Source organism: Homo sapiens, chromosome 22 (genome assembly GCF_000001405.40).
Source record: "Homo sapiens chromosome 22, GRCh38.p14 Primary Assembly".
NCBI classification, from domain to species: Eukaryota; Metazoa; Chordata; class Mammalia; order Primates; family Hominidae; genus Homo; species Homo sapiens.
Window position 1 is genome coordinate 29969206 of NC_000022.11, and position 22131 is coordinate 29991336.

At 39.6% G+C, this 22131-nt stretch overlaps 1 protein-coding gene across 3 annotated transcripts in view, besides 1 other annotated feature; it reads left to right on the forward strand.

Annotated features, from left to right (window-relative positions):
- Positions 1-22131, forward strand: part of MTMR3 (myotubularin related protein 3) — a 147695-nt gene that overhangs the window by 86032 nt on the left and 39532 nt on the right. For all 3 annotated transcript variants that reach the window (NM_021090.4, NM_153050.3, NM_153051.3), the window contains exons 3-6: positions 1771-1857; positions 9237-9326; positions 9731-9847; positions 19275-19357. In NM_021090.4, coding sequence (NP_066576.1) covers positions 1855-1857; positions 9237-9326; positions 9731-9847; positions 19275-19357 — 293 coding nt within the window. In that variant the 5' untranslated portion in view covers positions 1771-1854. The remainder of the gene's footprint in view (positions 1-1770; positions 1858-9236; positions 9327-9730; positions 9848-19274; positions 19358-22131) is intronic.
- Positions 10525-10574: an enhancer, noted in NCBI's record as "active region_18824". NCBI's record gives its function as "activates an Ori minimal core promoter by ATAC-STARR-seq in GM12878 lymphoblastoid cells {active_cell/tissue: GM12878}" and the evidence as "EXISTENCE:reporter gene assay evidence [ECO:0000049][PMID:35858748]".

The following is a 22131-nucleotide window of genomic DNA, read 5'->3' on the forward strand; positions in this document are numbered from 1 at the left end:
CTCTGCATGGCACGAGAAGAATAGATTTTTCTTACAATGCTCTTCATCAATAAATAGAAAATCCTTGCTTCCGGTTGCTGACACAAAAAGCTTGACTTCTCTTTTTCTATCCTATTTAATTAATCCACTCAAATCCTATGGGCAGTATTTTCAAAGTATATCCAGAATCAGTAACATCCCACCACTTCTATCTCTACTACCTTTTCATTGCTATATTGTCTCTTGCTGGGGTTAATGACGCTTTCTAATTGGTCTTCTTTTGCCCCTTACCCCCAGTAGCCTTGACTGTTCTCTACCCAACAGCCAAAATGATTCTTTTTTTTGTTTTTTTGGTTTTTTTTTGAGACTGAGTCTCACACTGTCACCTGGGCTGGATGTGCAATGGCGTGATCTCGGCTCACTGCAACCTCTGCCTCCCAGGTTCACGTTATTCTCCTGTCTTAGCCTCCCGAGTAGCTGGGACTACAGGCACACACCCCCATGCCCTGCTAATTTTTTGTATTTTTAGTAGAGATGGGGTTTCACTATGTTGGCCAGGCTGGTCTCGAACTCCTGACCTCGTGATCTGCCTGCCTTGGCCTCCCAGAATGCTGGGATTACAGGCGTGAGCCACCACACCCGGCCAAAATGATTCTTTAGAGTAAGTCATCTCCTACCATTCCTCTGCTCAAAATGCCTCAACACAATCTGGGCCTTGCTACTGCTTTTATGTTCTCTTGTTCCCTTGCTTACATTGCCCTTAAAAGAGTTTTATGCTGCACATTGAAGCCCAGACTCCCTGAAATATCCTGTGTTACAGAAGCTTAGCAAACTAGAAATGTTGGTTTTGCATGAGACTGTTCAAAGAAAAGAGCAACTTACTTACTCTTTGTATAAGCCTATTTTTGGGTTTCTAGTTGGATATTCTTTCCCCCTTTTTTGTTCTTATAAAACCAGGTAAAGGTATTAGTACAGATTGTAAGTTTTTAGAAGAGCATAGAATATTTGGGTAATAAGGCAAATTTATTTTTCCTATTTTGCTCGTAAGTCAGTTTGGTTTCCTCAGATGGGGGATCCATTTTGAATTTAGAGATAACCACAAAAACATCCTAAAATACTACAAGAATAATGATTTTGCATTTGCAGGTTGATGTTATTTATTTTTTTGAGACAGAGTCTTGCTCTGTTGCCCAGACTAGAGTGCAGTGGTGTAATCACAGCATACTACAGCCCCAACCTTCCAGGCTCAGTTGATCCTCCCACCTCATCCTCCTGAGTAACTGGGACTACAGGCATGTGCTGCCATGACCAGCTTTTTTTTTTTTTTTTTTTTTTTTTTTTGAGACAGAGTTTCACTCTGTTGCCCAGGCTGGTCTCAAACTTCTGAGCTCAGGCTATCTGCCTCAGCCTTCGAAAGTGCTGGGATTATAGGCATTAAGCCACCTTGCCTGGCCTGTAGGTTGATTTTAATTGTTGCTTTATTCATCCAAGTTTTATGATATTTTTTGTTTTACTACGAACATTAGGAATGTTAGCCTTTGATACTGTTTTTGCAGAAACAGGTTAAGACTAACAGGAGTTTTACAAAGGAACTGTCAAATTGGGATTTGACTAGTGGGAATTGGCTGGGTGATAATCAACTTTTTCTTGGCTGACTCTGATCAGCTTCTTAGGCCTGTGTATATACAATACCTTTGTGAGGATATGGCCGATTAGGGGAAAAACTATTGCCAATTTTGCCTCCCCTCCTCTTTTTTTTTTCTTCTTCCCCCTCTTCCCCCCCACCCCCAGACTTCACCATAAGGGAAAGAAGAGAGCCTTGTTGGACACTGAAGAAGGGACGGGGATTTCTCCTCCTAATCTGGGCCTCTTGTCATGGTAAGTACAAGGAAATAAGAGTAAAAAAAAAAACAAAAAACCCTGTGTCCTGACAATTAAGTGAACACTAATAAATTCATACTTACCCATTTTTGTTTTTGTAAGAAATTATTTCTTTTTCTTTCCCAGATCTCTTGTGTCTTTTCTTTTCTTGTTTACTTAGTAGTAATAGAGTACTCCAATATACAGAGCAGTTTCATTTCTGTTAACTTTAATCCTGTGAGCTAGATGTTGTCTCTTATTTTTCAGTCAGCAAGTAAATGGAATCAAGACTAAAACATACAGTTCTCGGACTCCAGGTTTTTAATTCCTTTTCTAGGAAGTAGCGTGTAGTGAAAACTGTGTGTGTGTGTTTGTGTGTAGACAAATTGTAAGATGGTAATCTGCATATTTACTTAAAAATTTTTTTAAATTGACAAATTACATATATATTGTGTACAGCATAATGTTTTGAAATACATATATACCTTGTGGAATGGCTAAATCAAGCTGATTAACATATGTATTACTTCACATAGTATATATGCTTTATGAATTTATAGAAGCAATTCCCTACCTTCCCTGTTTTGTCTCTTTAAGGCAGTATTTTGATCCCATAGTAGGTGGAGCAGCCCTGCACACCCCCTCCTGTATCTTTAACCAGAAAGAGAATTTAATGGACAATTTAATGACTTACGGGCCATTTCGGGCCCAGCTCAAGCAGAGAAGATGGAGCAACAAGCCAGCCACATTTTCATCAATCCTGAGGAAATGTAAACAGTGCTTCAAGGCTTAAAAAAGAAATGGTCCTCTGTAATATTGTCCTTCTTCTACCTTGTGATGTTTCCTAGATCCAAACTGTTTTATGCTGATGCACAGAGAAGGAATTGAAAAGGCTACATTAATTTCAAGCTTCATTAGGGACGTATGGAAAATGCTTTTCAAAATTAGAAAAAGTAAAACAAAAAAACTAGTTGTGCAGAAATGTCATATTAAAAGGAAGAGAAAGGTAACTGCCCTTATCTTAAAGGCATGCCAATTTTTTCTTAGTTTGTGGGCATTACAACTTTATGATTTATCTTATACCTAAACATTGATGAACTTTTCCTGTTATTTTCTTGATTATATTTTATTTTATTGGTTTTCCCACAGAGTTTTCAATGAATTGAAAAAGTGCTTGTCTAGTATTTCAGCCAGTGCTAATGAATAACAAATGATGGGCTTATGAAAGCAGCTCTGTTCTGTATTGAGGGTTTGTCCTTCATTGTATACCACACGGCTAGTAACAGTGTGGTCCTCTTCCTGGTGCTGCTGGGTTCTCCATGGTGCCTAGCAGAAAGTCTTCCTGGTGTTTTCCCTGGCCTGATGCTTTAGACAACGCTTGGGAGTTGATTCTGTGTGTACTAGTTGGGGAGTAGCATGGCCATGTATGTATCTTTTGTTTTTGTTTAGTTTCTCATAAAGTAGCATTGTTACAAGTTTTTACAAATTCTCATTTATAACTCTACCACCAGAACCCATGGTTGTATTCCGTTTTCTTTTTTCTTGAGACAGAGTCTTGCTCTGTTGCCCAGGCTGGAGTGCAGTGGTGCGATCTCGGCTCACTGCAACCTCCACCTACTGGGTTCAAGCGATTCTTGTGCCTCGGCCTCTCAAGTAGCTAGAATTACAGGCACCTGCCACCATGCTTAGCTAATTTTTGTATTTTCAGTAGAGACGGGGTTTCGCCATGTTGGCCAGGCTGGTCTCGAACTCCTGACCTCAGGTGATGTGCCTGCCTCAGTCTCCCAAAGTGCTGGGATCACAGGCATGAGCTGCTGTGCCCCATTGGTTATATTCCTTTCTAACTAGTTCATGTCTCATATGTATGTTTTATATAGTTAGAATGATAAAATAATTAAGTTTCTATTTTGCTTATTTCACTTAATGAATTAAACATTCTCCCATGTTGATTCCTTGGATTCCTAATGATCATTTTACTAGCTGTATAACATTCTGCAAGTTGTTGAACCATTGATTTTAATTATATACTGTATAATAGCATTTAGAGTGTATGTCCTTAATCCTTAGTTTTTGTGTAGACAATTCAGGAGCATTGAACATTCTTTTTGTTTTTAACTGTAAACCGCTGTACTAATTTGAGAGTGACATTTTTCCCTTGTCTTTTATACTCTTAAAGGTTCTTAAACGAGATTGGAGTCTGTCTTTGAGAGGTTAAGCATTAGCAAAATATATTTTCATGTTTTGTGGAAAATCTCAAGCCTATGCAGAGAGAAAAGTACAGTGCACTCATATGAACATCATTCAGCTGCAGTAATCATAAATTCATGACTATTCTTGTTTCATTTGACCTCTTTTACCCCTACCCTTTTGGCAATAATCCCAAGCATTTTATCAAGGGAAATGTATTGTTTGTCTTCTAATACCAGTCTTACGAATATGACTGGAAATGACAGTAGGACTGATAATTATTTTCACTTCTACGCTTTGCAAACACGAACACTAGATATGAATTCAGTTAGTAGGATTAATTGACTGGTCATCAGTCTCTCCTTCCCATGTACTTTATTTTTTTGAAATGGAGTTTCACTCTTGTTGCCCAGGCTGGAATGCAATGGCGTGATCTTGGCTCACTGCAACCTCCGCCTCCTGGGTACAAGCGATTCTCCTGCCTCAGCCTCCTGAGTAGCTGAGATTACAGGCGCTTGCCACCACGCCCAGCTAATTTTTGTATTTTAGTAGGGACGGGATTTCACCATGTTGGTCAGGCTGGTCTCGAACTCCTGACCTCAGGTGATCCATCTGCCTCAGCCTCCCAAAGTGCTGAGATTACAGGCATGAGTCACCGCACCCGGCCCTTCCCATGTACTTTAAATATTTATCTCTATGGTTGACTTCTGCTCTGAAGCATGTACTTTCCTCTCTTAGCTGCATAATTTAGCCAATAGCAGAAACTAGCCTGGAACTGTGGTGACTGGCCCTTTTTCAGTATTTTGTAGATGACCCCACTGACTTTATGGAGGTGGATGGAGACTACGAAGTGCCAGATGCCACAATGCCTGGTGTTCCTCAGCAGTACCAGGAAATTAATGACATGGAATACATCTCTCTAATAAGTTACTGCTTATAGCTAGGATACGTTTGTTTCCAAAACTGTTACCAGACCAGCGTTTCCCAATTTATCTTCTTCCAACTTCTCACCTTATTAACCATCTCAAGTTTGGCCTTCCTCACCTATGAAACTCACAGAAACTATAATAAATTCAGGCTAATTCAACTGCTAAATTCAACTGTTCAGCCACATGGGATCACCAGTCCCCTAGATTCAATGAATCCTAATGTTACGTCCTTGGGGATTAAATGCATTTTTGTGTACAAGGGGAGAAAAGTTCTGAAGCTTTACAGGTAATGTGAATTGAGACAATAGCTTTTAAAAAGAACATTTGTTTGATTATGAAAAATAAGTACTTCATATTCTTGCCTTGCTGGCCTAATTCTCAGTTGTTTTATGTTGAAAATCATGCATTTTCAGTTTTCAGTAGCTACTTTGGTGATACATATTGGTCTGGATTAGCACCCTGGTGAGTGTGCCAGCAAGAGTGAGTAGGTAAATGGTTTCTTTTTGTTCTTTACAAGCCTGCTACATTACTTCAGTTCTGTGCTAAAAGTCAGCAGAAAACTAGGTCAAGGAATCACTTAAAGATTAATAATGGGTACCTCTGTAAAATGACCTTACACAGAATAAAAGTCTAGGCCTTATGAGTTTATGTGAGGTAAAAAGTTAATGTGATGCTGAGAAGTTATGTTAAAAGTATACTTTTATGTAAGATTTTTGCTCCCCTCCATGTTTACATAGCATTTCCTTACTATCCCATATTGGTTTATGAGAAAAATCTCCCTAAATTGAAGATTCTTCACATCTTTCATTTGGTCTCTTTTTTTGGAGACAGGATCTCACTCTGTCGCCCGGGTTGGAGAGCAGTGGTGCAATCATGGCTCACCTTTCATAGATTAGCACTAGGAGAATGGTTTTAGGAAAAGCCTGGCTTTTGGAGTGAAGCAGCTTTAATTGGTATTTAGTATTAGAGTATAGTAGAGAAGCAGCTCTGATGGTTTCCAGACCTCTTTTTACTTCTTAAATTATTGAGGTACCCCCAAGAGGGTTTGTTTATGTGGGTTATGTCTGTTTATACCATATTAGAAAATAAAACTGAGAAATCTTTAAAATGCTCATAAATTCATTTAAAAGTAACAACAAACCAATTATATAGTAGCATAAATAACATTTTTTGATGAAAAATATTTTTCCTCATCCAAAGATAGTTTTAGTGTTAACATTTTTGCAAATCTCTTTAATATTTGGCTTAATAGATGACAGGTAAATTCTCATATCTACTTCGGCATTCAGTCCGTTACAATGTTTTCTTTGAAATATATAAAGAAAATGCAGCCTCAGGCAGATACGTGGTTAGAAAAGTAGTTAAAAAAAGGAAGAGTATTTTAAGTTTTCCCAGATAATTTATATTTTTCTTTAATACCAAACCAAAACTTGACAAGTGATGTGTTTTTTTGTTTTTGACACAAGGTCTTGCTCTATTGCCCAGGCTTGACCGTAGTGGCGCAATCACAGCTCACTGTAGCCGCTACAGTGCACCTCAGGTGCAGGTGATCCTCCCACCTCAGCCTCTTAAGTATCTGGGACTACAGGCATGCGCCACTGTGCCCATCTAGTTTCTCTATTTTTTGTAGAGATGGTGTCTCACCATGTTGCCCAGGCTGGGCTTGAACTCCTGGGCTCAAGCGATCTGCCCACTGTAGCCCCCCAAAGTGCTGAGATTACAGGCATGAGCCGTGTACCTGGCCAGTGGTGGTTCTTTAAAGGTTAGTTGCAGTGTAGAATCTGAAACCATATCAGTGAACTTTTTGTATTATATTACATTAAAACCATTAGTCTGTCTTGTACTTTGAGTGAATCTTTTATCCACATATGATTTTGTAACATGCATTGGTCATTAGGAAAATAATGGGTTCGTTGATTGAGGCAGATCTTCAAAAGTTGACATTTTATTATAGTGTGTGTTTTTTTTTTTTTTTTAAATCACACTTGGTAATACCTTCACTTTAAAGATAAAAGTTGTAAGTACTAGGAAGCTATAAAGTTCATGGTGGGAGATGAGAGGTTTTCCAAAATCTAATCTTTGCACAAAAGCTTTATTATTGACAACTAATACTATCTTTTGTTGTTACTGTTTGTTTTTTTCCTAATAGTGTCTTTTGGAAAAAAGACCTGCCAAATGTCCAAGTCTGCATTACCATAGTTTTTCCATCAGTTGTTCTTCCAATTAAGAATGATACTCAATGAAAAAAAATGGCTAGTTCATCTCTTAATTGAAGCATTTGCACAAGTGCTTTACTTTGTGACACCGTAATATTGCACCATACATCAGAGGTGTTTTACTTGTATTTCCTCTGTAAAAAAGACTTCTACTTAAGGGTCAGGATTTAATAAATAGAATTTATAATATTTCCTTGCTTTATCAAGGTCATTCTTATGAAATTGGCACCACTGTCTCAATTGTGCTAAGGTACCAGCAGTTTTACCTACCAGGTTTTTTTGCACTATTAGTATAGATGTCAATACAGTGAAGAAAGGCAATAATACCGTAATATTATTGGGAAGGTTTTGACCTCGCAGGGCCCCTGTAAGCATCTCAGAGTCTGTGGACTTCATTTTGAGAATCATGCTAGTGTAGAGTATTACCAGTTTATGATTATGGTTGCTGTTAGTAAAACCTTAAGTGTTGTTTATAGATAAGAAGAAAAACTCTTTTTGGGGGAAGACTTACAAAATTATTGGAATTGTGTTAAGTAGTGTACACAGAAGCAACCAGTAACCACTGGTTATAATTCTTAATGCTGTCAGTTGAACATGATGTGGCTTTTGCTCTTTTAAAAATTGCTGTGTGGGGCCAGTCTTGGTGGCTCACACCTGTAATCCCAGAACTTTGGGAGGCTAAGGTGGGAGGATTACTTGAGCCCAGGAGTTTGAAACCAACCTGGACAACATAACGAGACCTTGTCTCTACTGAAAATAAAAAAAATTAGCCTGGCATGGTGGTGGGCGCCTGTGGTCCCAGCTACCTGGGAGGCTGAGGCTGGAGGATCACTTGAGCCCCGGAGTTGGAGGTTACAATTAGCTGTGATTGTGCTGCTGCACTCCAACATGGGTGACAGAGCAAAACCCTGACTTAAAAAAGAAAAGTGCTGTGTAAACAGATTCTATTATAATTTAGTCAGGCTTTGTGATAGATGACATTTCTCTCATGTCTTCCTATACCATAAAAATTCATAATGCAAAATATTACTTTTTAATACAAATTGTAATTTACATGTCATCTAGATGAGAATTTATTGCTTCCTCTTTTGAAATTGTCTTAACAGAAATCTATTTTGTAATATAAGGCAGAGTAAATGAAGGATAGTCTTTCATATATTTTCAACTTGGGAAATTCAGTTCTTAAGCTTACTTTTTCTTAGAAATTGTTTTCAAGCTTTCTATTATGAAAATTTCACATATAACCAGAGTAGACACAATGGTAGAGATAATGAACTCTCACCCAGTTTCATGAATTACTAATTCATAGATAGTCCTGTTTCACTTATGTCCCGCTTCTTCCTTACTCTTGCCCCAGTTATTTTGAAGCAAATTTCAAATGTCACCTTTCATTTTTAAATATTTCAGTATGTATCTCTCAAATAATTTAAGATCGTAACTTAAAGAGAAAAAAGCATTATATCTTGGTTTCTCTTAAAAGTAGTGTGGGGCTGGGCACAGTGGCTCATGTCTGTTATCGCAGCACTTTGGGAGGCTGAGGCAGCTGGATCACCTGAGGCCAGGAGTTGGAGACCAGCCTGACCAACATGGCAAAACCCCGTCTCTACAAAAATAGTAGCCAGGCGTTATGGCACGCACCTGTAGTCCCAGCTACTCAGGAGGCTGAGGCAGGAGAATCGCCTGAACCCAGGAGGCAGAGGTTGCGGCGAGCCAAGATTACACCACCGCACTACCTGTGCACTACACTACCAGTGCACCACTGCCTGGGTGATAGTGAGATTCTGTCTCAAAAAAAGAAAAAAAAGTATTAAGAAGCTGTTAGTGCCTAATAGAAATATTCTAACCTCTTTGACATTTTTTTTGCATCAATGTGTTTTCAGACTAGATGTAACTAATGTATTGGATAGAAAAACTTTTTAAGATCAATATTGTTTCCTTGAGCTTTTCTGCCTGTTCACCTTGGTCTTTGTACTTTCATTGTGATTATGCTAGCAGATATGGCAGAAAAACCAAATATGAATGATTAGAAGCTTTGAAATTATTTTAAGGTTTTGGACTTTTCCAGGATGAAGAGACTCGGCACAGCCTTGAGTGCATCCAGGCCAATCAGATCTTTCCCAGGAAGCAGCTGATCCGGGAGGATGAGAATCTTCAGGTAATTATAGGCCACTTTTAAATGTAAAATATTTATTTAGCATTAACTGTATAGCAGAGTTAATGGATTTAAGTGTAACGTACTATATTATATATATATATAACATACATGTAGTAGAAATGCAAGCTGGAAAACATCTCATTTTAGCAAGACTTATTTCCTGAGAATCCACTGTTTAAGATGATCTTCTCTGTATCATTCCTTTAGTAGTTCAGAATTTGAATAACTAGATATATTTGAATTAGGTGGGTATAAACCCATCCTCTTTAGCTTCCTTATCTACTTATGTGCTGTGTTTTCAACTTCAGTGGCAGAGGATTTACCATCCATTCAGCCAACTGATGTTTGAAGCTTTTTTTTTTTTAACTGCTTCAGAACTCTGAAGGGTTTCTTTCATTTCGAAGGTTCCTTTCCTTGAACTTCATGGAGAGAGCACAGAGTTTGTGGGCCGTGCCGAGGATGCCATCATTGCCCTTTCCAATTACAGACTTCACATCAAGTTCAAGGAGTCTCTTGTTAATGTAAGTGATTACCAGCTGTTCTCCCTCTAAGGTAAATGGAGAAAGTAAGTCAAAAAACTTAATGCTCTCAAAGAGAGGAGAGGCATACAGAATTGGGAGAGAAAGCATTATGTGCTCTGCTTTTCTCACTTAATTTAGCACTCAAGGAACACTGGCTTGGCCAGGCGCGGTGGCTCACGCCTGTAATCCCAGCACTTTGGGAGGCCAAGGCAGGCAGATCACGAGGTCAGGAGATCGAGACCATCCTGGCTAACACGGTGAAACCCCATTTCTACTAAAAATACAAAAAATTAGCCGGGCGTGGTGGCAGGTGCCTGTAGTCCCAGCTACTCAGGAGGCTGAGTCAGGAGAATGGCATGAACCCGGGAGGTGGAGCTGGCAGTGAGCCAAGATCACGCCACTGCACTCCAGCCTGGGTGACCAGAGCAAGACTCCATCTCAAAAACAAACAAACAACAACAACAAAACACACTAGATCAGCAAGCAGCTCTTATGCTTGATTTAAAATGATGTGTGTAGTTGTCAGCTGAGGTGTCCATTGTTTAGTTTAACAGTGAATGATTTGCATTAGGTAATGCTGTATCATTAAGCTTTATAAAGGTATAAAGGCTGAATGGGCTTTTATTCTGCAATCTTTAGTAGTTACCAACTGCCTCAGTTGAGATAATTCCCTTGGCCTTAATGTCAAAAGATGAGATGCACTTTGAGCTCACTGCAGACTCTCATTACAGCATGAGGTTACTCTAATGACTCCTTGGTGGTATAAGTGTAGATGTTAAGTATAATGTTGATTTGCATAATGGACTATGTATTACTGAAGAAAAGGAAGCCTCTTGATTCTCAAGAGTACATTTACCCTTTTCAGTTATGAATGTCCTCTCAGTGAACTGGTTCTTCCAGTGCTCTGCTATCATTAGCCTTAAATGAAACGAATAAAGGCTTGAAAATTCATGTACTTACAGCAAATGCCTTCTTCCTTCTTTACTTGCCAGTGTTGTGGCTTTCTACACTCCACTTCCAGCACAGAGAAGTGTATTATGACACGTTAAAACAGCTCAGGACTGTAATTCCATGCAGACTGTGTTTTGGCTTCATTTTGGGATTCTTTGAAATCTTGTTCATTCGTTTTACTCAGCAATTAAAAAAAGACTCAGTGGCTGTCATTTTTTTTTTGGTAGTTGACATTTTTTACTTCTTATTATCATTCTTCTTTGTAGTTAAGCATTTATGTCCAGGAGCAGTTTTGGCCTGAATCCCTTCTGGCTTCTAGATTTGGGCCATGATTATAGCAGTTACATCAGTTTTCTGTCTATCAGCTAAAGATACACACCAGATTCATTAAGGAAAGAGGCAATGCTGTTCTTTCATACTATGTAGCACTCTGTTCAGAAGGGTCCACTTGGATTTGAGTAGTCGTGATGGGGAGGGGAAAGGGGGGAAACACCTATAAAATCCCAGCAACTGAGAATTCCCCACCAGCTACTGTGGAAGTAATGATAGTAGTGTTTAGTAGAACTGCCCAATTTAACTTTGTGTTCTTTCAGTGTTTGAATTGCTGGAATTAAATTATAATTAAATTGCATGTGAGAATGATAGTTTCATATCATTGCATTTTCTCATATCATCCTGTATTTATCAGTTTATTGGTTGATGGCCAAGTGTTTCAGAGACTATTTTAGAACTATTTGGGAATAAGGTCTGCTGGAAAGCAAGCAGGAAAGAAAGAAAGAAAGAAACTGATCATGTCATTCATCAGCTTAAAGCCCTTCAGTGTTTCTTCACTACTTCTATGATGAAGATCAGATTGTTTAGCATGACATGAAGCTGTCTGACAACGTGGCAGGGACCAAGGATCACAGCTTCCCTCCTTTCCCCATTATCACATTTTTACTTGTAAAAGCAGCCTCTTTGTACTATTCAGCCATACCTCACACCTCTGTGTTCTCTTTTCGGCCCAGGAACTTCTGTTCATCTGTCAAAATTCAGTTCAGGTGATAACTTCTCCTGTGAAGCCTTTCTTAGTCCCAGTTCCCTCTGTGACAGTTAACTACACTCTTTCTTTGCTTTGTCTTTATCTTGTACATTCTTTTATAACATTTACCAAATAGGTTGTAATTTTTGGTTAATTGTTTTTGTGTCTTCAAGATCCAGCATGTCTCCTGGTGCCACAATATTCAGTAAATATTAAATGAATTGAAGTTAATGTGGGTTTGAAGTGGGCATTAGAACCTTTTCCCCCTTTGGTGTTTAAAGCTCATTTTAAAACAGTACACTTCTGTGTGAATAGGCTGTGGCTTAATTGTCTCTAAGGATAGCTGTGTGAGTAGGTTGTTGACTGGAATTGTTGATCCCCCATTGTGATTGAGAGATAATGCTTAAGGAAACTTGCCACTGTTCTTTCTTTTGATCAATTTTCTTAATCTGAAAGTGTTTTTTTTCTGTTAGCATCATAACCCTCTAAGGCATAGAGCCTACATGTTACTTAAAAAGCCCAGGGTAGGCCGGGTGCAGTGATGCACGCCTGTAATCTCAGCACTTTGGGAGGCTGAGGCAGGCAGTTCACCTGAGGTTGTGAGTTCGAAACCAGCCTGGCCAAAATGGTGAAACCCCATCTCTACTAAAAATACAGAAATTAGCTGGGCATGGTGGCATGTGCTACTCAGGAAGCTGAGGTAGGAGAATCACTTGAACCCAGGAGGCGGAGGTTGCAATGAGCTGAGATCACGCCACTGCACTCCAGCCTGGATGACAGAGGGAGACTCTGTCAAAAAAAAAAAGGAAAAAAAAAAAAACACCCAAGGTAATGGCTTTGTACAGAAAAATGATGGTGTAAAAGTATTTTGGCATTGCAGTGACTTTAAAAATTTCAGATTGAGGCCGGGCGCGGTGGCTCACGCCTGTAATCCCAGCACTTTGGGAGGCCGAGGCAGGAGGATCACGAGGTCAGGAGAGCAAGACCATCCTGGCTAACACGGTGAAACCCCGTCTCTACCAAAAATACAAAAAATTAGCCGGACGTGGTGGCAGGCACCTGTAGTCCCAGCTACTCAGGAGGCTGAGTCAGGAGAATGGCGTGAACCCGGGAGGTGGAGCTTGCAGTGAGCCGAGATCGTGCCATTGCACTCCAGCCTGGGTGACAGAGCGAGACTCTGTCTCATTAAAAAAAAAAAAAAAAAAAAAAAAAAAAAATTTCAGATTGAGAGAGACTAGAACTCCTCCATAAAAATAAATTAATTTCATCACAGCTAGTGCTAAGAGATTCCTGAAACCTGAAACCTGGAGGTACTTAGGAAACAAGGATTCTTCCTGCATCGGGTCCTGGATGGAGATCAGACAGTTGGTAGTGGTGTTGCCCCTCCCTCTTTCCTTCCCTTAGCAAATAAGTATTTCAATAAAATATGTGTATTTCAATAAAATGTTAGATCAGGAGGCTCTCTTTAAATGTTATTTTATCTATATCAAACACATTTAAACCATCAAAGCCCAGACATACCAGCATATGTTGTGGCATGCCCCAGTTCATCATTTTGTATGCTTAAATCAAAATACTTAGCACTTCAGAAAATGATTTACCATCAAGTTTTAAATAGCTACCTGATATCATATATTCTCTTTTAATTTCACAGCACATTGAGTAAAATGTGTCTGTAGGTTTTGATACCGTAAACATCATTACTTTAATTCACACATTCACTGAATATCAAGTTCCAGTTCCTGTGGTAAAGAATCTCTGTAGTAGAGTTTATGTGTAGCATTTAAGGTATACATTGCTCCTATTCTGTGCTTTTCCCAAATTATTATATATTTACAGACATAGTTCTTTGAAGCTTAGATAAATTATAAACAAGTGTTCAAGTGGAATTCATGAACGTTTAAAAGTTTGTTTGTGTGTGTGTGTGTGTGTGTGTGTGTGTGTGTGTGTGTATGTGTTTGTAATTTAATAGACTGCTTCTCAATCTGCTGCTTCTAAAATCCCTGTAAGTAGTATGAAAATCCTAGGCGGTTGCTGCACCTGTGCTTGGAGCAAATTGGTTTTGAGTGTTAGATGCTCACCTTGCAAATCAGCAGAATGTTTCCCCTCTGCATGAGTCCTTTTCCTCTTACTGGACCAAATTCCAGTTGTATGCTACTAGGAGAACAATTTGTAGGGTAAGGAAAAAGCCCTGCAGTTTATACATAAGCAGATGGAATTGTGACCTTCAAAAAAATGTAGAACAAGTTTCTGTTAGAAATAATTTGTAAAATCAACACTAGTTTTTTTTTCTTTCACTTTGTTTTTTGGAGACGGAGTTTCACTCTGTTGTCCAGGCTGGAGTGCGTTAGCACAGTCTCGGCTCACTGCAGCCTTAGTCTCCTGGGCTCAAGTTATTCTCCCACCTCAGCCTCCCAAAGTGTTGGAACTACAGGCGTTAGCCACCACACCCTGCTGCGAAGGAGGTTATTGTTAACATTTAATGCACTTTGATCTAGCATTCATATAACAGTGGGAGCCTCTGAAAGCAGTGCTGGAGGCTTGTAAATTGTCAAAGGTGAACAATAGAGTTTGAATCTTAAACCAGTGACAGTCTTCTGCTGATTAGTGGGTTTTTGGTGGTTGTTTTTTGAAACAGGGTCTTGCTCTGTCGCCCAGGCTGGAGTGCACTGGCGCCATCATGGCCCACTGCAGCCTCAACTTCCTGCGCTTAGGTGATCCTCCCACCTCAGCCTTCTGAGTAGCTAGGTCTACAGACACATGCCACCGCGTTCAGTTAATTTAATTTTATTTTTTGTAGAGATGATGTCTGTGTTGCCCAGGTTGGTCTCAAAACTCCTGGGCTCAAGCAGTGCACCCACTTTGGCCTCCCAAAGTGCTGGGATTACAGATGTGAGCCACTGCACTCAATTTTTTATTTTATTTTATTTTTATTTTATTATATTTATTTTATTTTTATGTTATGTTATGTTATTGTAGTGACAGGGTTTCACCATGTTGCCCAGGCTGGTCTTGAACTCCTGGGCTCAAGCGATCCTCCTGCCTCAGCCTACCAAAGTGCTGGGTTTATAGATGTGAGTCGTCGTGCCCGGCCCTGATTAGTTTTTAAATGAAAAGATTTTTGTGCCCAGATATTCCACTTTATTACTGATTTTAGATTTAGACTCATTATTTTTACTCTTTTACTGCCATTTTAACTTCACGTGTACAAGATTAGTACTTCCCATTCAGGCTATAAAAAGGGTGTTTGTTTTTAAAAAGGTAGGAATTATCCCACTCTAGATTCTGGTGTTTAAAAATAATGCACATGTATGCACACACACCCAGAATGAAATGAGGTAAATATAGTAGGGTATGATGGCATCAGTTCCCTCTGGAATGTGACAGTACTGTGGACATAACCTGTGCATGTCTGTATGTCTGTTAAATTTTTAAACTGCTGCTCTTCTGCTTTTTTTGGATTGATGCTCTTCAGGGTGTTAGTGTCTATAATGTAACTTGGCTTTTTGAGGAATTGGTTGTAGCACTGAATGTGTTTGATGCATTGTTTGAGCATGAGTTTGGTGAAATTTATATTAGGAAAAGCATTGTAAGGTGAGATTGCGTTACCTGGCAGGTGGAGAGATAGAGGAGAGAGGAGCAAAAAGAAAATGAGTTGCTACAAGACATTGAATCAGTACGTTTGAGAGGATTTGAAAGTGAGTTTATCTTGCTACTCTTTTACAAAAGGAATTGCATCTGAGGAGTTTTGATTTAAACTCTGTTTTCCTCTTGAAGATCCCTGGTGGAGAAGCTACTTATTTGTGAAAGAAAAACTAAAGTAGAGCTCATATGGAAGAGAAGCCCACGTGTAGGGGCAGAAAGAAAGACACACCGTGTATGGTGGAAGGAGCCCAGGCTGGAGGACAGACATGGATCCTGGTCCTGACTTTACTACTATATTAGCTTATAGTGTAGTAGTTTAACCTTCCTGGGCTGTAAAGTGGACTGGCTCTTGAATCTGTAATTTGCTTTTGAGGTTGAATATAGGGTATCTCTAGTTATAGAAATGTTAAGAGATTGTTTTCATATGTGAGGAAATTTGAACCTAAAGCAGTGTAGTGGGCCTTAAGAAAATAGAGAAACAGTATGTTTTGGATGGAGGTATGAACAGGAAAAGAAGGTCAATTCTGCCTTTTAGAAAAGGCAATCTGGACTGGGTGCAGTGGCTCACACCTGTAATTCCAGCACTTTGGGAGGCCTAGGCGGGTGGATCACCTGAGGTCAGGGGTTCGATACCAACCTGGACAAATGGCAAAACCCCATCTCTACTAAAAATACAAAAATTAGCTGGGCGTGGTGGCTGGGATCACAGGTGCCTGCTACTCAGGAAGCTGAGGCAGGGAGAATAGCTTGAACCTGGGAGGTGGAGGTTGCAGTGAACCAAGATCGCGCCATTGCACTCCAGCCTGGGCAACAGAACGAGACTCCATCTCAAAAGAAAGAAAGAAAGAAAGAAAAGGCAGTCTGTGCAGGAAGTGCTGAAGGGAAACACTGCAGTAGAAAGGAGAAGAAAAGGGAGATATTTGTTATAAAAATCAGGTGTTTCTCTTTTGTATGTCCCTATTCTTGCTGCGTATTAAGCTTTCCTGCATGTGACAGTCTGCATGAATATTAAAATCTGCTGTTCTCCGTATCTGTGACTTGTAATACACATGGTTGATTTTGGTGACTTGCTGGTGTCTGCAATCTGATTTCAATGCATAGAACCAACATTCTAATTCTTTTTTCTTCAATTTAAGATGTTAAAATATAGAAAAAAATATGTATATATTGCCTGAATTTTAGGTAGCAAATGTTTTGCATGGTCTGAGATAATTTTATGATATTAAATTTGGGCACGGGCCATTGGGCTCTGGTTTAGTAATAAGGATGTAAAACTTACCTGTTCTTTGTAGCAAAGTAGCAAAGGCTAATCCATTTCCCCCAGCAGCTGCTAAGAGCATTAGCTGGTTTTCATGTCTTCTGTCCATAAAGAAAGTCAGTTGCAGGGGACTTGGGATGCAGGTGACTGCTGCAAGAGCAGCCTCTTCTTGTGGATTTGTAAAGCTCACTCTAATCCTATCCCAGACTCTTCCCAGGCCCCATGACTGAGATTTCCTTAGTTGTGACCAAGGTTCAGAAAGCAGAGGCTGATGGCACATGGGAAGGCTGGAGGCTTGCCCAATGAAGCCAGCAAAATTTTAATTGGTAACATTTTAGAAAATTGAGATTAGAACTCACGGCTCTTAATTGCCAGTCTGGCAGCCACATTTTGGGGGGATATAGTGAGTAAGGTAGTTAGCAGGAGTATATACAAAATAAAAAGCAGTAAGTGTCTGTTACAGGCTACCCAGAGAACTGGCCTGAGAACAAAGCAAAGTTATCTTCTAATCTGTCTTCTTAATCTCAATATTTCTTCTTTATAGTTTTATCTCTGATAAATTGTAGGTTTGTTTGTTTTTTTTTTTCCTTCTTAGATGCACAGGTCTCAGAAGAATTCTTAGTTGCATCAGTTGCAGTTTCTCACAGCACCTTGGGGTTAAGGACGTAAATAAAAACAGAAGGCCAAAAGCTCCTTTTGTTCTCAGAACACAGGCAAGATTTTTCTTTTTTCTTTTCTTTTTTTTTTGTTTTTGAGATGGAGTTTTGCTCTTGTTGCCCAGGCTGGTGTGCAATGACACGATCTCAGCTTACCGCAGTCTCTGCCTCTGGGATTCAAGCGATTCTCCCGCCTCAGCCTCTGGAGTAGCTGGGATTACAGACATGCACCAAAATTACAGGCATGCACCAAATACAGGCATGCACCAAATACAGGCATGCACCAAAATACAGGCATGCACCAAAATTATCCGCACCTGGATAATTTTGTATTTTTAGTAGAGATGGGGTTTCTCCATGTTGGTCAGGCTGGTCTCAAACTCCTGACCTCAGGTGATCCGCCCACCTCGGCCTCCCAAAATGTTGGCATTACAGGCGTGAGCCACCGTATCCGGCCAAGATTTCTTAGTCTTTTTCTGACCCCCAGTCCTATTACATTTGTAAGGGAATTTTTATAGACTGTAGACTTAAAAGCAAGAAGACTTTAGTCCTAAGGTAGAAACTCCCAGTCATTTATCTGAGTAATATTATTTTGCTTTCTTCTCTTCTTTAACCCCTGCTCCAGTTTCTGTTTCTTTGTCCAGCACTGGGCTTCTTTTTGATCCCTGCATCCTCATTCTGAGAGTTCTGTGCTGACTGGCAGCTCTGTGGTGGGGCAGAGTTTGCAGGAAGCTTGTTCCTGAAACTGGCTCAGCTAACACGAGGGCCAGCCTGTGCAGACAGTACTCTTGTTCCTGTCTGCATTGGAGGAGACTGTCCTCCTCTTTGCATACTAAACACAAGTTGTTGGAATGCTATTTGCAACTCCCAGAGCCACATTTTGGCTAGACTTGATACACTGTAAGAGGCAAATGGCCCACTCCTTTTTCAAGGAGTAAAAGTATTCACTATTATTTTACCAGGTTTGCCTTGAAAGCCTAGAAATTGCTTTTTGAAGCCAAGGGTTGAATTAGGATGATTTAAGGGATAGGAGGAGGATCCTCATATTATCCTGAAGATTTGGCACCCTGTCTAGATGCTTTTGCTTCTATCTGTCTCCCTTCTCTCTATCTGCTGTTGTACATAATCCTGTGTCCAGTAGAGTCTGTAGACCAGATTGGCAAGGGGGAACCATTCCAGCTTGTTCAAACCTCAAGCCCCATTTGGCAAACGGGGCTTCTAACTGATTTTTTGAAGCAAATCTGACATAGTTATTATAGCTTTAGCATCCTTGATCACTGTATGGCCTTCTCCCTCCTTTTTGATACTTTTGGGTCTATTCTACTTAGTAGAGAGCCTGGCCAGCAGCTATTGCCCCATTGTCTTTTCTGTGCAATCCACAGTCAGCTTAGAACTCTAGTCTTTTTCAGGAGCCTCATTGGCTGACACTAAGCCATAAGCCCACTCTGTCATTTGGGGCAAACAATAGTCTCCCACTGGCATTCTGATCTGTAGTTCTTTTCTATAAGCAAGAAAAGATTACTGTTCTGGCTCCCTTCAGCTTCTATGTCATTGCATCATTGCAAATCATAGTCAGTTATAGCATCTAAAAGTAGTACTCTGATCTTGTGAATTCGGTGCCTGAGAGATATATTCTCCCCTTCTTCCAAAGGTGGTGCCACCTCTTTGTTGCCTTCATGCTATGACATGACTTGAGACCACTGATTTAGAGATAAAGGGAAGTCCTAATTCACTTTGTAGTAAATCACTTGAGTACTGTTGATCCAGATAAGTTTGCAGTTCTATTTTTGTTGCTTTCCCTTATAGATCTTTTTAATTAGTCTTGTTGGACACATTGAAGAACTCCAGGGTCAATGCCTTTTTGACTAAGAGGACTTCATTTTTTTAAAATTGCAGGTTCCATTACAGCTTATAGAAAGTGTTGAATGCCGAGATATATTTCAGCTTCATTTGACTTGCAAAGACTGCAAAGTTATCAGGTATGTGGTATGGTATGTTTGTGTTGCTGTTTAGTGTGGAAAATATTTTTTAAAGAATGGGTCCATTATTTGGTAACTTAGTAAAATACCTTTTGATGATTAGCCTCATTAGGAATATTTTCTGAGTAGTTTGTGCCTGAAATATTTTATCTGTAGGATGTATACTTTGCTATGTTGAAAGATGTTTTTTTTTTTTAATTTGGAAATAATTTTAAATTTACAAAAGGGCAAAAATAAAAATACTAAAAAGAACATCAGTACACCATTCACCCAGATTCACTTGTTAACATTTTACCATTTGCTTTATTATTTGCAGAGGCGTGTGTGTATGTGTGTGTGTGTTTCTTTTCCTGAACAGATTGAGAGTAAGTTACGTAATCATGGCTCTTAACCCCAAAATACTTTAGTGTGCTTTCCTAAGAATAGGGATATTTTCTTACATAACCATAACATTATCAATTTTCAATTTTACATTGATAATACTTACATCCAGTCTACTATACATGTTCCAATTTTGTCAGTTCACCTAATGACCTATTGATACTTTTTTATAGCATTCTCCCTCACCTCCATCTCATTCAGTACAGGATCCAGTCTAGGTCATATATTGCATTTAGCTGCCATGACTCTGTAGCCTTCTTTAATCTGGAACATTTTCTTTTTGTTTTTGTTTGTTTGATTTTTGAGACAGAGTCTTGCTCTGTTGCCCAGGCTGGAGTGCAGTAGCACGATCTCAGCGCACTGCAACTTCTGCCTCCTGGGTTCAAGCGATTCTCCTGCCTCAGCCTCCTGAGTAGCTGGGGTTACAGGTGTGTGCCACCACACCCGGCTAATTTTTTGTATTTTTAGTAGAGATGGGGTTTCACCATGTTGGTCAGGCTGGTCTTGAACTCTGACCTCGTGATCTGCCCGTCTCGGCTTCCCAAAGTGCTGGGATTACAGGCATGAACCACCATACCCGGCCAATCTGGAACATTTTCTACAGCCTTATTTTCTTTTATGACATTCACATTTTGCAGAATACAATCTTTTGTTTTAATGGAATACTTCTCATGTTGTGTTTGTCCAGTATTTCCTCAATTAAATTGAGGTTCTATTTTCTCAACTGGAATACTGTATATATGATGTCACATCCTTTTCAGGGTATTGTATTACATCTGGAAGTACAGTGTCCACATGTCCTTCATTGGTGATGTTAATTTTGATTATTCCAGTCGAGATGTCACCTGGCTTCTGTATAATTTCTGCGTTTTCTCTCTTGCAACTAAAAACAGTCTGGGGGAGGCACTTTGAAACAATGCAAATGTCCCTGCTTCTCATAAAAATTTCTCCATAAGTTTAGCATTCATTGATGATTTGTATCTGCGCTTAACTATAATGGTTGCAGGCTGGGTGTGGTGGCTCACGCCTGTAATCCTAGCACTTTGGCAGGCCGAGGTGGGGGTGGATCACTTGAGGTCAGGAGTTTGAGACCAGCCTGGCCAACATGGCAAATCCCCATCTCTACTAAAAATACGAAAATTAGCTGGGTGTGGTGGTGCACGCCTGTAGTCCCAGCTACTTGGGAGTCTGAGGCGGAAGAATTGCTTGAGCCTGGGAGGCAAGAGGTTGCAGTGAGCTGAGATCACGCCACTGTACTCCAGCCTGGGTGACAGAACAAGACTCCATCTGAAAAACCAAAAACCAACAACGATGCCTGAAATGCATTTTTAAATTTAATAGCTCTAGAGGTCTTAAATTCCACAAGTTTTTACTGCATTCCTCTGACCTCTTCTGGGGTGTCAGTAAATATTATGTGTTGGCATACTGATGAGCCACCATGATTGGGATGAGAGAGAGGTTTAAGTGACCCCTTGGTTTTAAGATAGATATTTATATTGCTTTTTAGTCAGTGAGATTTGGCTTATTTTTGATAGATACTGGCTACAACTCACAGTTTAAGAAGGTAGTTGCTTATTAATTAGTCAGTTTTTAACATTGCATTCAAAAAGGCCAAATATTTAAACAAATCTTTATTTTTATTTATTTATTTTCTTGAGACAGAGCCTCACTCTGTTGCCCAGGCTGGAGTGCAGTGGTGTGATCTTGGCTCACTGCAACCCGTACCTCCCTGTTTCAAGTGATTCTCGTGCCTCAGCCTTCTGAGAAGCTGGGATTACAGGTGCACGCCACCACACCTGGCTAATATTTTTGTATGTTTATCAGAGACGGGAGTTTTGCCATGTTGGCCAGGCTGGTCTTGAACTCCTGACCTCCAGTGATCTGCCCGTCTTGGCCTCCCAAAGTGCTGGGATTACAGGCATGAGCCACTGCACTCAGCCTAAACATATCTTTAATAAATTAGTTTTCACTAATTATTTTAACTTCTTAGTTGTATATACTGAAAATCGCAGTTGACAATAGAATTGTTTTGTTCTCTACATGGTCATAGCTGAAAGTTTCAGTGCAATCTGTCTTTTGGATCTGATTTGTCCTAATAGCTAAATATTGAAATTACTACCTAACTGGCTAAAAATAATGCTGTTTTTTTTTAAACTTGATCTAATATGTTACTACAAAACAAAGATTTTTCTAAACATATTTTTTATGAGGGACAACCATAAAACTTCGATGGAAGAAGTAGAATGAAACTCCACTCATGAAAGAGAATAGCTGCCATTTTTCTGTAATAATTGTCATTAATCTTAGAAGAGATTTCATTAGTCTAAAAAAATAGGTTTTCCAATGGTCAGCTTCCTCCTTTTGGACATTTTGTTCCATTGGCTAACATTTGT